This window comes from Homo sapiens, chromosome 2, assembly GCF_000001405.40.
Source record: "Homo sapiens chromosome 2, GRCh38.p14 Primary Assembly".
Taxonomy (NCBI): Eukaryota; Metazoa; Chordata; class Mammalia; order Primates; family Hominidae; genus Homo; species Homo sapiens.
In genome coordinates this window covers 167,200,500-167,214,095 of record NC_000002.12, presented here as the reverse complement: position 1 = coordinate 167,214,095, position 13,596 = coordinate 167,200,500, and the positions used below count along the sequence as shown (strand labels likewise).

The 13,596-nt window shown below is 36.0% G+C and overlaps 1 protein-coding gene across 6 annotated transcripts in view; it reads right to left on the bottom strand.

Annotated features, from left to right (window-relative positions):
• The window catches only part of XIRP2 (xin actin binding repeat containing 2), a 371,274-nt gene that overhangs the window by 45,658 nt on the left and 312,020 nt on the right, over positions 1 to 13,596 (bottom strand). For 5 of the 6 annotated variants that reach the window (NM_001199143.2, NM_152381.6, NM_001079810.4 and 2 more), the window contains one exon: positions 3,201 to 3,361. In NM_001199143.2, the coding sequence (NP_001186072.1) occupies positions 3,201 to 3,361 (161 nt within the window). The remainder of the gene's footprint in view (positions 1 to 3,200; positions 3,362 to 13,596) is intronic. The other variant, XM_017003309.2, reaches the window with a different exon arrangement.

The following is a 13,596-nucleotide window of genomic DNA, read 5'->3' as shown; positions in this document are numbered from 1 at the left end:
TCTTTCTTTCTTCCTTCCTTCCTTTCTATTTTGTATTTTAGTAGACATGGAGTTTCATCATGTTGGCCAGACTGGTCTTGAACTGCTGACCTCAGGTGATCCACCCACCTCAGCCTCCCAAAGTGCTAGGATTACAGGGGTGAGCCACCGCGGATTATTTTTAATAGTAGTACTAATACCATTCCTGCTACCCCTGGTACTATCATTACGCTACTGCAGCTGCTCATTCACCCAAGTGAGACAAATCTTCTGAAATATGGTTCAGTGGCGGTGCTAAGGTTTCCTTGTTCCACTTGCGGGTAGATGAAAGTTTACACATGTGAGATGGCAGGACCTGCCCAAGAAGCAGTCTGTGGTCATAACCGGGAGTAATGCTTCCTTGCTCAGGTGGGGACCGTTCCTGTGACTTTACCTTATTTAGTGTCATGCTCTAAATATCCCAACTAATGAATGTTGTTATCATTGACCCCATAACTGAAATTGCTTTGTGTTGAAACTTTTTATGTTTATTATTATTCTGTGTTTCTTATTATTTGGCTCAGCAATAAGGTTTGGAATCTAATGGGTGTGCTGATAATAATATGCTAATTTGAACACCTAACAGTTAAATCTAGGTAAATATATTACACAGTCCTCAAGTTCTTTTTACAAAAAAACTGTTCTTGGTTTATAGGGCATAACAGAAATAACATAATTTTGGGAGTTGGACAGACAGTGCTTCTAATTCCAGCCCTGACAATTAAAACCTTGGGCTACAGCTCTTGAACTTGGTTTTCTTTCTTATAAACTGGGCATAGAAATATTTTTCTCACAGATTTATTGTGAGTATTAAAAAAGGTAAAGGGAATAAAATTGCACAGACTTGAAAATGAATCTGGCATTTTAATTCATTGCTCAACAAGTGTTACTTCTCCCTCTCTTTTAGGGGGCTTCTATAGACCACCACTGTTTCATGGGCATAACTTTCATTTAGATACAACCAAATGCCATCTGATTGACTCTGAGACAAGGAAAATATATTGTCTTTACATGTGTAAATATGATTGAGATATAGTAGATTCAGTTTGGGTCTGATTCTGTGACTTTCAGATTTTGCACTTAAAATTTTGGGTTAATTGTGGAGATACAGATTTAGTCACAGGCAGTTTTCATGATTTTTTTTGGTGTGTGTGTGTGTGTGTGCAGAGGGGTGGGGGGGTGGGGGGGTGGCTTGAACAAGCATTTCATGCACATGATTAAATAAACAATTATTTTGCTTTGCTTTAGATATTTACCAGGATTCTGCTGAGATAATATATGTGCTCTTCTTTCTCACAATATTTGCTTAGGGCCAAACCATATACTATAATATGTATTTTGGGGGCCAAAAATACTTTCTCATTTAGGGAAGAGGAAGAAGTTGAATTCAGTTAGAAGAGCACAAGAGTCAAGAGACTAGGAATCTAGCTTGGCCTCCTCACTACCTAATTTTATAATCTATAAGTAACTTTCTCTTGCTTTTCTTGTCTATAAAATTTGCAGGGAAGAGAAGATTACTAAATTCTTTATATGTAGACATTTTGAGATTAGCCCTAAAGTTTTTGATTTTGTATTAAATAATGGGATCATTTAATTTCCCTATGTGTCCAATGTAAACATTCCCTTTTTAAACACATCATAAATATATATCATGCCTTGATACCACTTTTTTAATGTGTATTCTCTTAGTACCTGGCAAGGTCAATCTTCCTAAATCAAATATTGTTTACTAAATAACCAGTCTTTAGGCATTTTCAAAATCAACTGTTTCCTCGTGAATCATTTCTCTAATTTAGAACACGAATAAGTTCCTCAATGATCCAGTAGGGGGTGCCATCGAAGAAGACTGGCAGGAGGTACTATAGTGCCACTGTTTATTTTGGAAGTGATCTAGATACTTATGTCACTTCTGCACATTTATTCCAAATCTAAGCTGTGTCTAAAATGTATTTTAATGACTATGTGAAAACCTAAATGTCATCTAGAATTGCATTTTTTAAATGAGTTTGGCACAGTCAGCCTTGTCTCTAAATAATTTGTAAAGAAGCATGTTAAGTGTAGCTATTTTAATACACCACCTTTTTTGGCTTTTCTCTCTCTCTCTTTCTCTGTCTCCCTCTCTCATACACAACTAGGCTAATTTGGAGATTATAATTATAAAAGAACATTCTTATATTCCATTAAGTTGAAGGCCACAGAATACAGAACCCCAAAATTCTTTTGAATATGACTTTATAATGCATTGGCTCTAAAAATTGGTGGTCTTACTGAATCCTGCAGTTTCCTATAATCATAATTGGTTTAGCAGAGTGTCTACATTGCTAATCTCTCTCATTTTTATGTTGATTAAACCTTTCCTAATGGATTTAGTGCATACAGAGAAACGAGAAAAGCCAAAGAAATTATACTGCCAGTGAATTTCAATGAACCATATATGAGACCAAGGAGGGTGGCGTGCAAACCCATGTTATTAAAATTTGAAATTAATTCCCGACCTTCCTGAGGAGAATATCTACAGGTTAAGTGCTAATGATGATAATAATAACACATTTATACAGCGCCTTATGGCTTACACATAAATTGTCTCTTTGATTCCTCACCAAGACTCTGTGTGATAAATGATGATTCCCATTTTTCAGTCAAGGAAACTGAAGCTCAGAGAGAAGTTAAGATAGTAGTTCAGGGCTGGGCACAGTGGCTCATGCCTGTAATCCCAGCACTTTGGGAGGCTGATGCGGGCGGATCACGAGGTCAAGAGATCGATACCATCCTGGCCAACATGGTGAAATCCTGTCTCTACTAAAAATACAAAAATTAGCAGAGCATGGTGGCATGCTCTGTAATCCCAGCTACTCGGGAGGCTGAGGCAAGAGAATCACTTGAACCCAGGAGGTGGAGGGTGCCGAGATCGTGCCATTGCACTCCAGCCTGGATGACAGAGCAAGACTCTGTCTCAAAAAAAATAAAAAATAAATAAAAATAGTAGTTCAGATTCACACAAGTAATAAGTAGCACAGTTGAAACTTAAATTCAGATAGTCTGGATTTATTTCACACACTATTTTTGTGCTCTTTCTACTTTAGCCCCCTGTCCAGTAGTATTCTTACATTTCAAATATAAAGAGGGAATTGGGACAGACAGTAAGCACATTGCCTAGTGCAAAACCATTAGGAGCAGCTTACATTAGCAGAGAAGCTGCGGCAGTCACCCCTGGAAACAGCTGCCTGGTACCTCGCCATCCGCTCCTTCAGGGAGACCACTTCGTGGAGGTCTGACACACCCTCGCCCCGAGCAGCACTGTCTTCTGCAAATCCACTCTCAGGCTTATTAGGGCCAGCAGTCGCTGAAAGCAAACAGAGCATGCTTACACATGTGTGTTAAGCTTTAAGAAGAAAACAGCATCACCTTATAAATGGTGAAGCATTTAAAATACTTGATCTCGTAAAATGGACTGTAGCATTTCACAATATTTTCAATGTCTCATGGTCATCTCCTTCAAGCTTTCAAGCAAAGTTACAAAATGTGTGTATAACAGCATAAACTTAGGTAAACAGCAAAAATTTATCCCCCCAACTCTTGCAATTATTGTGATGAGAAAAACTTAGTAACAGATATATAATAACAATTAACATTCCTCAAGCACTATGTTTTGAATGTATGCTAAATTCTGTGTGCATTTTCAAATTTACTTTTCTAACAATCTTGTAAGGTAGGTAATATTATTTCTAAAAATTTATATAAGAAAATGAGAGTCACGCCTATTAAAAAACTTTCCAAGGATCACACCTTTAACAAGCGGCAGATTTGAATATGGTTTGACAAAATCTTTAACAAGTCTAAGGGTTGCTCCTTTCTTCTCTCCTCACCCCTCAACCTTTAAGGAGATATGTCCAGCTAAAATATGCAAATATTGTGAATATTATAGGCTGTGGATTTTTTTTTCTTTTCTTCTTAGGGGCATGTATTACATAAGAAAGAAGTAATAGTATCATTAGAAACAGCTTTGTCAGGCACCCATTTCAGAGAGCCTGATATTTACCCATGAAGCCATCTACTTGGCAAAAAGGCAGGGTAGGAGGAATTACATATCTGGAAGTAGTGTTAAAGACTGATTGCACAATCACAGAATAGCAGTTGTAAGAAACAGAATGATCTTAGAGATCATCGAACCTAACCCAATCTAATCAACTCCTTTTAGGCAGAAGAAAACGTATGCCTGAATGTTTCCTTATGTGAAAGGAACATAAGGACCCTCCATTGTTATGTGATTCTCCACAACTATTTAGCTTACGTATGCCAGAACTGATCTCAAAACTAGTTTTTCTTATTTAATCTAGTGATCTTTGTTGTCATCCTTCTGCTTGGTGGTTTACTATTCACTCTTAGATGGTTTTGATTCCAAAATCATTTCAAGGGCATGTTATAGGTATGTATACATGTGCTTTTGTATATGAGTTTATGTATATGCATCACTCATTCATGCATCTCCTGCCTTCACTCTTAGGGCTGGTAGTTTCTGGGACTTACAGGGTAGGGCTCTTTGTAGTACTTTCTTATTTGGGTTGTTATAATTTAATCACTATCAACCAAGGCCCAAATAACCTCTAGTAAAAGACAGCCAAGCTGTTCCCTCTGTGCCCTGTTCTTCCTCTCTCCTCCCTCAACTCTGAGTCCCCATGTTGAACCATCTTATTGAATTGCTTGCTTTTTCTATTAGCATCTTCAAGATTTATGTACACAACAGCAGTTGAGAACAATTTCTGTGGCCTAGAAAAAATTAAAAAATCATTTTCATTTTGACACCTTCCTAGAGTATTTGGTTTTCCATAGAGACTTCTTATTCAGTAAACACTTTCATATATTGTAATTAAAATAGTAAAAATACTTAACATACTATCACAAAGATACAAAGTATAAAGGAATAAGACATGGTATTATATGAATGCTGATTGTACAATGTTGATTATGTTTATGACAAATGCCAGCTATCTTTGAAATTCACCTGTCATCCAAAACCTCATAGCCATACAAAAGACTCCTCCACTTGATTCTGATAAAAAGAGATTCCCACAAATCACTGAAAGACTTTCACATGCTGAGGAAAAGCTCTTTATTTTTCCCTGTGGCTTCTCTATCTGCACAGATGAATTCAGTGTACATTCAGCTGTGCTGTTCTTACTTTGATGTGAATGAATGTCATATAGATTTTATTGAACATAACACTCTAAAGTTTTTCTACATTAAAATATAAATTTTATTTTGTGTGTTATCCATAAAAGATGCCATTCTTTTGGTAATCTTAATAGAAGTTCAGGCTTTTTTTTGGTTAAAATTTACAAATAGTATTTAGCTTTCAAATATTTGATTTTTATCATTTTTTAATGACAAAATGCCCAATATTATTTGTCAAAAAGAAATCAGTGGCCTGATTTGGATTCCATTGCTCATGGCCATCATAGAAAAGACTCTCAGCCGGGCGCGGTGGCTCACACCTGTAATCCCAGCACTCTGGGAGGCCGAGACGGGCAGATCACGAGGTCAGGAGATCCAGACCATCCTGGCTAACACGGTGAAACCCCGTCTCTACTAAAAAATACAAAAAATTAGCCAGGCATGGTGGCGGGCGCCTGTAGTCCCAGCTACTCGGGAGGCTGAGGCAGGAGAATGGCGTGAACCCGGGAGGCGAAGCTTGCAGTGAAGCCAAGATCGCGCCACCGCACTCCAGCCTGGGCGACAGAGCGAGACTCCGTCTCCGTCTCAAAAAAAAGGGAATGATAAAACCATTAAGCATGCAAGTCAGACAGGAAAGGAACAAACTAAAAGGCTAAAGTACTCTGTGAAAAGGAGGAAGGGGAAAATTAAATTTTCAAATGACTATTTCTGTTAGAAAGCATTATAAATATTAATACAACAAAATCATTTTGTTGCAAGTTTTTGTCTCTGAGGCTTAGAGGTAATTTATTGTGCAGACGAGTAATCCAAAATCCGAAGAAGTTCAGTGAATTCTCCCAAATCTTGAGTTAATGGTATAGCTGGGCTTAGAATTCATTGCACACTAAACATAGAAAGCATGCATTTATTCACATATAAGAAAATAATTTATAATCTATTCAAAATATTCATTCTTTGTGTAATAAAATACATCCCACAAAGCAGAAAAAACATAGAGAGGCACTTTGAAAGAAAATAAAACACTAAAAAATACAATCTATTATCATGGCTATTAGATAACAAGGATAAGAATGTCTTTTTTAAGGGTTTTGAGGTTCTTGGAAAAAATATTTACATTTTAATTTCAATATAATATAAAAAGTCATATACTATAGATAGATCCAACTTATGCCCATTTCTACATTCTTAAATCATGAGAAATTGTGTGACTAGAGATCTTTTTTTCTCAAGCCTCAAACATATATGCTTTTCTTCTGCAGTTTTTAAAAACAAACTAAATCTATTAATAAAATTTGACCAGGCTACAGAAATTCATTATGCCTTCCTGAATTTTACTTTCTATGGAGAGTCCATGTTTAAAACATTTAAAAAACACACATTGGTACAATATTTATAAGGCAGAACACTCTTCCTTTCTTGACCAATTATTCACAGGTCTGCATTCCGTAACAGAAAGGATTGAATAGCGACCCCTCTGTGATTCCTTGAAGTTGGTAAGATGTCAGAGACAGAAAACAGTGAGGAATAGTCAATGTAATATACATTCTAGAATTTTCTCCTAATTTTACAATTTATATAATCAGATAAAGAATTCTTATGGATATGCACAGATTAATATATAGAAATATTTCAAAAGGATCATTGATAGATTTGTTATGAACCATCCTAAACTAGCTGTACAAGAAATTTCAAATTTGGAATTCAGTGATTTATAAAAATGATATGTTCTTACAACATTAAGAAGTGAAAAATCTATCCTCATTTCCTATTAAGCAATCATCCAAAAATCTGAAATAAGTTATAAATATGATCCTAAAATTTTCATAGAGTTACAATTTGGAAATAAAGGTCAATGGCTTGATACATAGAGCTAGGGTCAATGTGTTGCTCAAAAATAATGTCAGATCCTGAAAAAAAACTATGCAGAAGACACCTACTGTGTCTGGGTTCACAATCTTATTTTGTGATTGTCACAATCTTATTTGACACAATCTTTGTCACAATCTTATTTCTAAAGCCAGATTGCATCTCATCACATTTTCTAAATGTAAATATTTCCTATTACTTTCAAAATATGAGAGATACATTCTTAAATTGTAGTTGCGGACAGTCTTATGGAAAGGATGACGGTGTAACAATACAATTGACAATACTGGATGAGAGATACATTAATACTAGGTGCTTTAAAAGTGGCTTAAACATTGCTTAAATTTGTGTGAGTCATCTCATTTCTTTTCCCTTCTCCCTTCCCATTGTGGACAATGCAAAAGTCTGCAGAACAAAATGGAAAGCACTTTGAACTCCTTATTTCTTTCAGAGACTACTTGACAGTGTCCGGGTTGTGAGGCTGATATGAGCCACGTCTGATTTTTAGCAGAGACTTGGCCGATATTAAATCAGAAGACAAGACATCTGTCAAAGACGAGAAAAGAACTAAAGATATTCAAGCATTTTGAAAATTAAAATACACATTGAAGGCAGTAAATAGGATAATATATGGTACAGAAAAGAAAATCAATAGCATATTAGCAGCAATATGAAATATGGCGAAGATGGAAAACAGAGGAAAATCCATACTACAGGCATTTCAGTGTGAGGATGGGGAAGTAGATAGAAGAAATAAGTTATACTAGAAGAAAAAAAATTGCCAAAAATGAAATTTGGGCATAGATTGAAAATATTTACCACAATCCAGGAATAAAGTTAATTTAAACATACCAACACATTGGCAAATCCTGGTGAACATTTTAAGTTCATGGAAAAAGAAAAATTCTGCAGTTATCCAGATACATGAAGAGTGTCTGTAGTAAAGAAACAAAATTCAGATATCCTTAGATATTTCCTTTACAACGCCGAACACTAAAGGTAATTAGAGAACCAATTACTGGTTACTGAAATTTTAGTATTGTGAACCAGAGTCTACATGGGTCCAAGTTGATAACCATGTGAGAGGGCAACAAAAAGTCAAACACAGACCATGTAATAACAAAGGCAGCCCAAAGGAAAATGAAGGCCCTCAAAATATAATACCTAAACAATAAGGTAGACATAAAAATGGTTGTATTTATTTATTTATAACTAAAAGTATTAGTCATAGAAATAATCAGAGGTCAAACTTCACATCGAAGGATGAAAACAAGTAATCTAATGGTGTACCATGTGCAATAAATAGATGCAAAACAAACCCTACAATTAAAAAATATATTGGACAATAAATTATCAGGCAAATATAAATGAAGAAAAGTCATCATTACTATGCTACTTTCATGCAAAGTATCCTTAAAAACAAATTATTCATATATTAAATGAGATAGAAGACCATTCCATAGCTAAAAGATACCATCCCACTATGAAGCTGGAATAACTGTTGACCACTACATGCTAATTAGCACAGTACAGCAACAGTAAAAGGCCATTAATAACAAGGAAAAGGAAACCTTTATGGGAAAATAATAGCTGCGGGTGACTTTAACATATCTTTCTACATCTTGCCAGATGAAAGTTCAAAAATAAATGATTTTGAATTATATAATTACTTATATAATTAATAAGGTTTGTATAAGTAATCATATAATTGATAAGGTTTATTTATATTCATTCTCACTAAACAAATATTGGTTATCTACAAAAAGCATAAGATACATTCACTATCTTTCAGGGCTTTCAGTATAGTTGGAGAGACAGGGTGTTATAGCCAATGTGTAATAGGTTTGTACCAGTTGAGTTGGGAGCCTATAGTGGGGACATAATCCACCTGGGTATGTTAGTGAGGCAGGTGTCAGGAAAGGCATCCTGAAAATAGAACATCTGTACTGAATCCTGAAAGAGCTGGCCATGTGAATATGTGCTAGAGAGAAAGATGCAGAAAGGGGATGAAACTGTGAAGCACTATCAACAAATTGTGCTGGGAAAATTGGGTAAAGATTTTGAGGAAAACATTAAGAAATCCCCACCTCACAGCATATTGCAAATGAAATACCAGATGGCTAAAGAGTTAAATATTTTTAAAAATTATGAATCTTTGGAGAAATAGAAGTAGTTCATAAAATGATTTCAAATGGACTTTATAAGCATAAAAATTCAAAGTAAAAAAAATTTATGCGAGAAAATAAAAATTGGAAAATGATAATTATAATAAATACGCGTGTTTGTTTTCAATAAAGAACACTGATGGGCCAGAAAAAAATGTTAATATTGAATAATGGATAAAGAACTTCAAAGAATGATTTACAAGTGAAAACTTCATAGCAAACATGTATAAAGTGCTTTCTATGTGTCAGAATATGAATCCATTTAATATTCTCAATCATACCAGGAGATAGAGGCTATTTTATTTTTTATCTCTATTTTACAGATAAGGAAACAGAGACGGGTTCTAAAACCTGCACCAGTTCAGACAGTGGGTGAGTTTCAGAGCTGAGAAGGGAAGCTCAGCAATCTGGCCCCAGGCTCTGTGACAACTCCAATTCTGATGCTACCTATTAAGAAGGACAGTTGTTCAACAACAAACAAAATCACTATGCTCAGTAAATAAATGAAGGAAAAGCCAAACAACAAAGAGATGCCTTTTTCTGTTATGAACTGACTCATACTGCATATACAATAAAAATATCCATAATATTCCCAGATGGTTAGTCCAGTGTATTATTGTGACACAAAATAAATTCTAAGGTTAACAATAATTTAAACTGTTGAGCAGAGAAACCAGAATTTATTATTTTTTCTTTGAAATTTGCTAAAATCAATGTAAGAAGCCTTCATTTAATGCCACCTAAGAACCAGGCGAAGTGTGCTGGTGAGTCCCATGGAAGCCTGCAAAGCTGAAGCAATCATAGATACCAGCTTCAAGAAGGCAAGCACACTTCAGGTGATACATCAATAGCCTTGCTGCTTTATTCTGGATGCATTAAAAAGAAGTCAACTGTTTAGTTCTTGAAAAAAAAAATTGATTGAGAACTACATTGGGAGAATGATAAACTAAATTCTGTCAAACTTAAATACATGATCTATAATCCAGCTTGGATTTGTGTGCAGGATAGCATACCAATACACATATCATAGGCTCAGAGCCATTAGCATGAATAAATTTTTCTATAATTCTTAATATTTGCAAATCCCTCAGCTAATAATAAAATTCATCTCTTTTAAGCATTCAGAATGCTACTGCCAAGTAAAATTTGTAATCAATTTGAGTTTTATATATTCTTATCCTCATTTGAATATTATAAAACCAAGAAATAGATGGAGAATAAAATGAAAGCAAGTGTACAGCACAGACCTGCATCAATTCAGAGTTCTTAAAAAACATGGAGAAGAAGGGCGAGGGAATAAAAATGAGTGGAAGTAAGCACAAAAACCATCTTGTAGCATTTTTTTCCAGCAAATGAACACAGTGACTCAGATTCCATTTCTCAAACTAACCTCCCTGTGATCCTATTCCCCCAAAATGCATTGTGTTATTGTATGTGTACTTGTTACCTTCCCAAAAATCCATCCATTCATTTGATTATTTGGGCTTTATACATTAACAAAAGAAGATCTCTCATGGTAATAAAAAGGATTCGTTCCTGCTTTCTTACTAAGTCTGTCCTAGCTAGTATTCTCCTGGTTCACCAGATACTGGAAGAGATTCTTTAAATCCAGTTGCCTGTTAGAGGAAGAAGACAAGATTTAGCATTGTAGTAGACAGAACATCGGTCCCCCAAAGATGTTCACATCCTAATCCCCAGGACCTATGAATATGCGACCTTACATGGCAAAAGGGATTTTGCAGATATAATAAAGTTAAGGATTTTGAGATAGGAAGATTATCCTAGGTTATCCAAGTGGGTTCAATGTAATCACAAGGGTCCTTGTAAGTGAAAGAGGGAGTCAGGAGCATTGAGACGGGAGATGCAATGACTGAAATGGGAGAGAAAAGAGATTGAATATTCTACACTGCTGGCTTCGAAGATGGGAATAAGGTCCACAAATCAAGGAATACAGGCAGCTTCTGGAACCTGGGAAGGGCAAAGAAGCAGATTCTCCCCTGGAGCTTCTGGAGGAAGCTTGGCACAGCCAACACCTTACTTTTTTCTCAGTGAAACCCACTTTGGACTTCAGACTTCCAGAACTGTAAGATAATAGATGAGTGCTATTGGAATCTGTTGCATTTTTTGGTAATTTCTTGCAGCAGCAACAGGAAACTGATACAAGCATTCACTGTACACATACATGTGTCTGTCCAAGTCACAAATTGCTACATACTGGATACTTTTAAAGGCACATTTCAGTTCCAGCTCCCTAAATTGCACAGACACGTAAATACACAAACCACTATGTGATGGAGCCATCTCTGAAATTACTCTTTATGTCCCAAAAAAGAAATGTCCGCCTACCTGATAAGACTCTAAGTGTCCATTTAGATTCAAATCTCTCTGAATAATAGGACTGTTATTTCTACCTGCTGTCACTTCTTTTTCTATAGACATGTCCTGTGTCTTTTGCAGCTCCTATCATCTCATAGGAAGTACTTCTGGTACTAGAGCAGTTATGAATTAAGAAAATTTAATCAGAAGTTAGGTAATCATTAGTATAAAAATATTGCTAGTTTGGGCATATACGAAAATCTAATCATACTGCTCTTAAACATTTTTAAATTAATTGGTTAGCTTAGAGATTTGGCCAGTTAAAAAAATCAATAATTGAATAAAATGACTTAAATTTCATTGAACTAGTCTAATAAATTAGAATCATTACAAATGCCTGTAGAGTGTGCATATTTTTACAGCATAAGTCTCTTGTTGGACATTTCTCTAGTACAATCAGACGTATATTACATTATAATAATGATAGCTATCAGTTAATGAACATAATGTGTTAATTATTTTACATGTATTATCCCATTAATTCTCATAACAACCATATATGATGGGTGGTTTATTCCCATTTTAGTGTTGAGGAAGTAACACTCAGAAGATAATATCATATAGCAAGTAGCTGAACCCGGAGTTGATTTCAAGTATTTCTGCATACAACTTTCAACTCTACACAGTCTCTTACGTAAATATATTTTCATTAAAATATAACATTTTTATTTCAAGGTAAATTTTTAATTAAGGGTATGAAACTCTTTTCTGCTTCCTAAAATATATGCACTTAAATCCTTTCTAGACATTGACTTCAGCATAATCTAAGGATAAATCAAAGGGAAATAAATAAGCTGAATTTCCACAGCTATCAGTGGCTGTTTTTCATTATTACAAGCTTGAGTTTAGAATTAGAAATCAAAGCAAATTCCTCAGCTATATTGCTTTGGTCACCATAGAGATCAAACTTAAGAAGGGGTTAGGGATAGGTCCAGTTGAACAGAGAAGGGAATAAACTTAACTGCAAGGAAGGGAAAATGCAAAGCAGGGGCCACTGGTCTCATTTTCAAGTGATCTACTGTGCTCCAGGGGATGGGAGGTGGTGTCGCGCTTTCATCCAAATGTCCCCTTGTCTAAATCCGCATCACAGGTATATACTGAAGGTATATGGTACCGTTCCTGCCCTTCCTTCCCCTTCCTTCCTTCCTTCCTTCTTTCCTTCCTTCCTTCCTTCCTTCGTTCTTTCCTTCCTTCCTTCCCTCCCTCCCTCCTTCCTTCTTTCCTTTCTCCCTCTCTCTTTCTTTCTTTCTTTCTTTCTTTCTTTCTTTCTTTCTTTCTTTCTTTCTTTCTTTCTTTCTTTCTTTCTTTCTCTCTCTCTCTTTCTTTCTCTCTCTCTCTCTCTTTCCCTCCCTCCCTCTCTCTCTCTCTCTTTCTTGACAAAGCCTCACTCTGTTGTCTAGGTTGGAGTGCGGTGGCATGATCTCGGCTCACTGCAACCTCTGCATCCCAGGTTCAAGCAATTCTCCTGCCTCAGCCTCCCTAGTAGCTGGGATTACAGGCACCCGCCACCACACCCGGCTAATTTTTGTAGTTTTAGTAGAGACAGAGTTTCACCATGTTGGCCAGGCTGGTCTCAAACTCCTGGCCTCAAGTAATACAGCTGCCTTGGCCTCCCCATGTGCTGGGGTTGCAGGCGTGAGCCACCACACCCGGCAGGTATATGGTACATTTTCCTCTTAGGGCTTTAGTCCTGCATTCTATAAACATCTACTTCCCAGCTACTGTCGGCTAGGCATGGTTGTCAGACCTGGAGACAAATTAATCACCATTATAGTCAGTCATGCTCCATTTGAAGAGGAAAAAAAAAGAATAACACTAGAAAGATTCTCAAGAAATACAGTATTGATCTGACCTTATTTCTAAAAAGATAAATATAACAGGTTTTATGAATGTATATGACATGTAAAGTGTTCGTTTATCTGTGGTTTTGGCACTAGGCCGTGAACCACCAATTTTTCACTGACAAGCAACATGAAAGTCCACTGGAAATGTAAAGTTC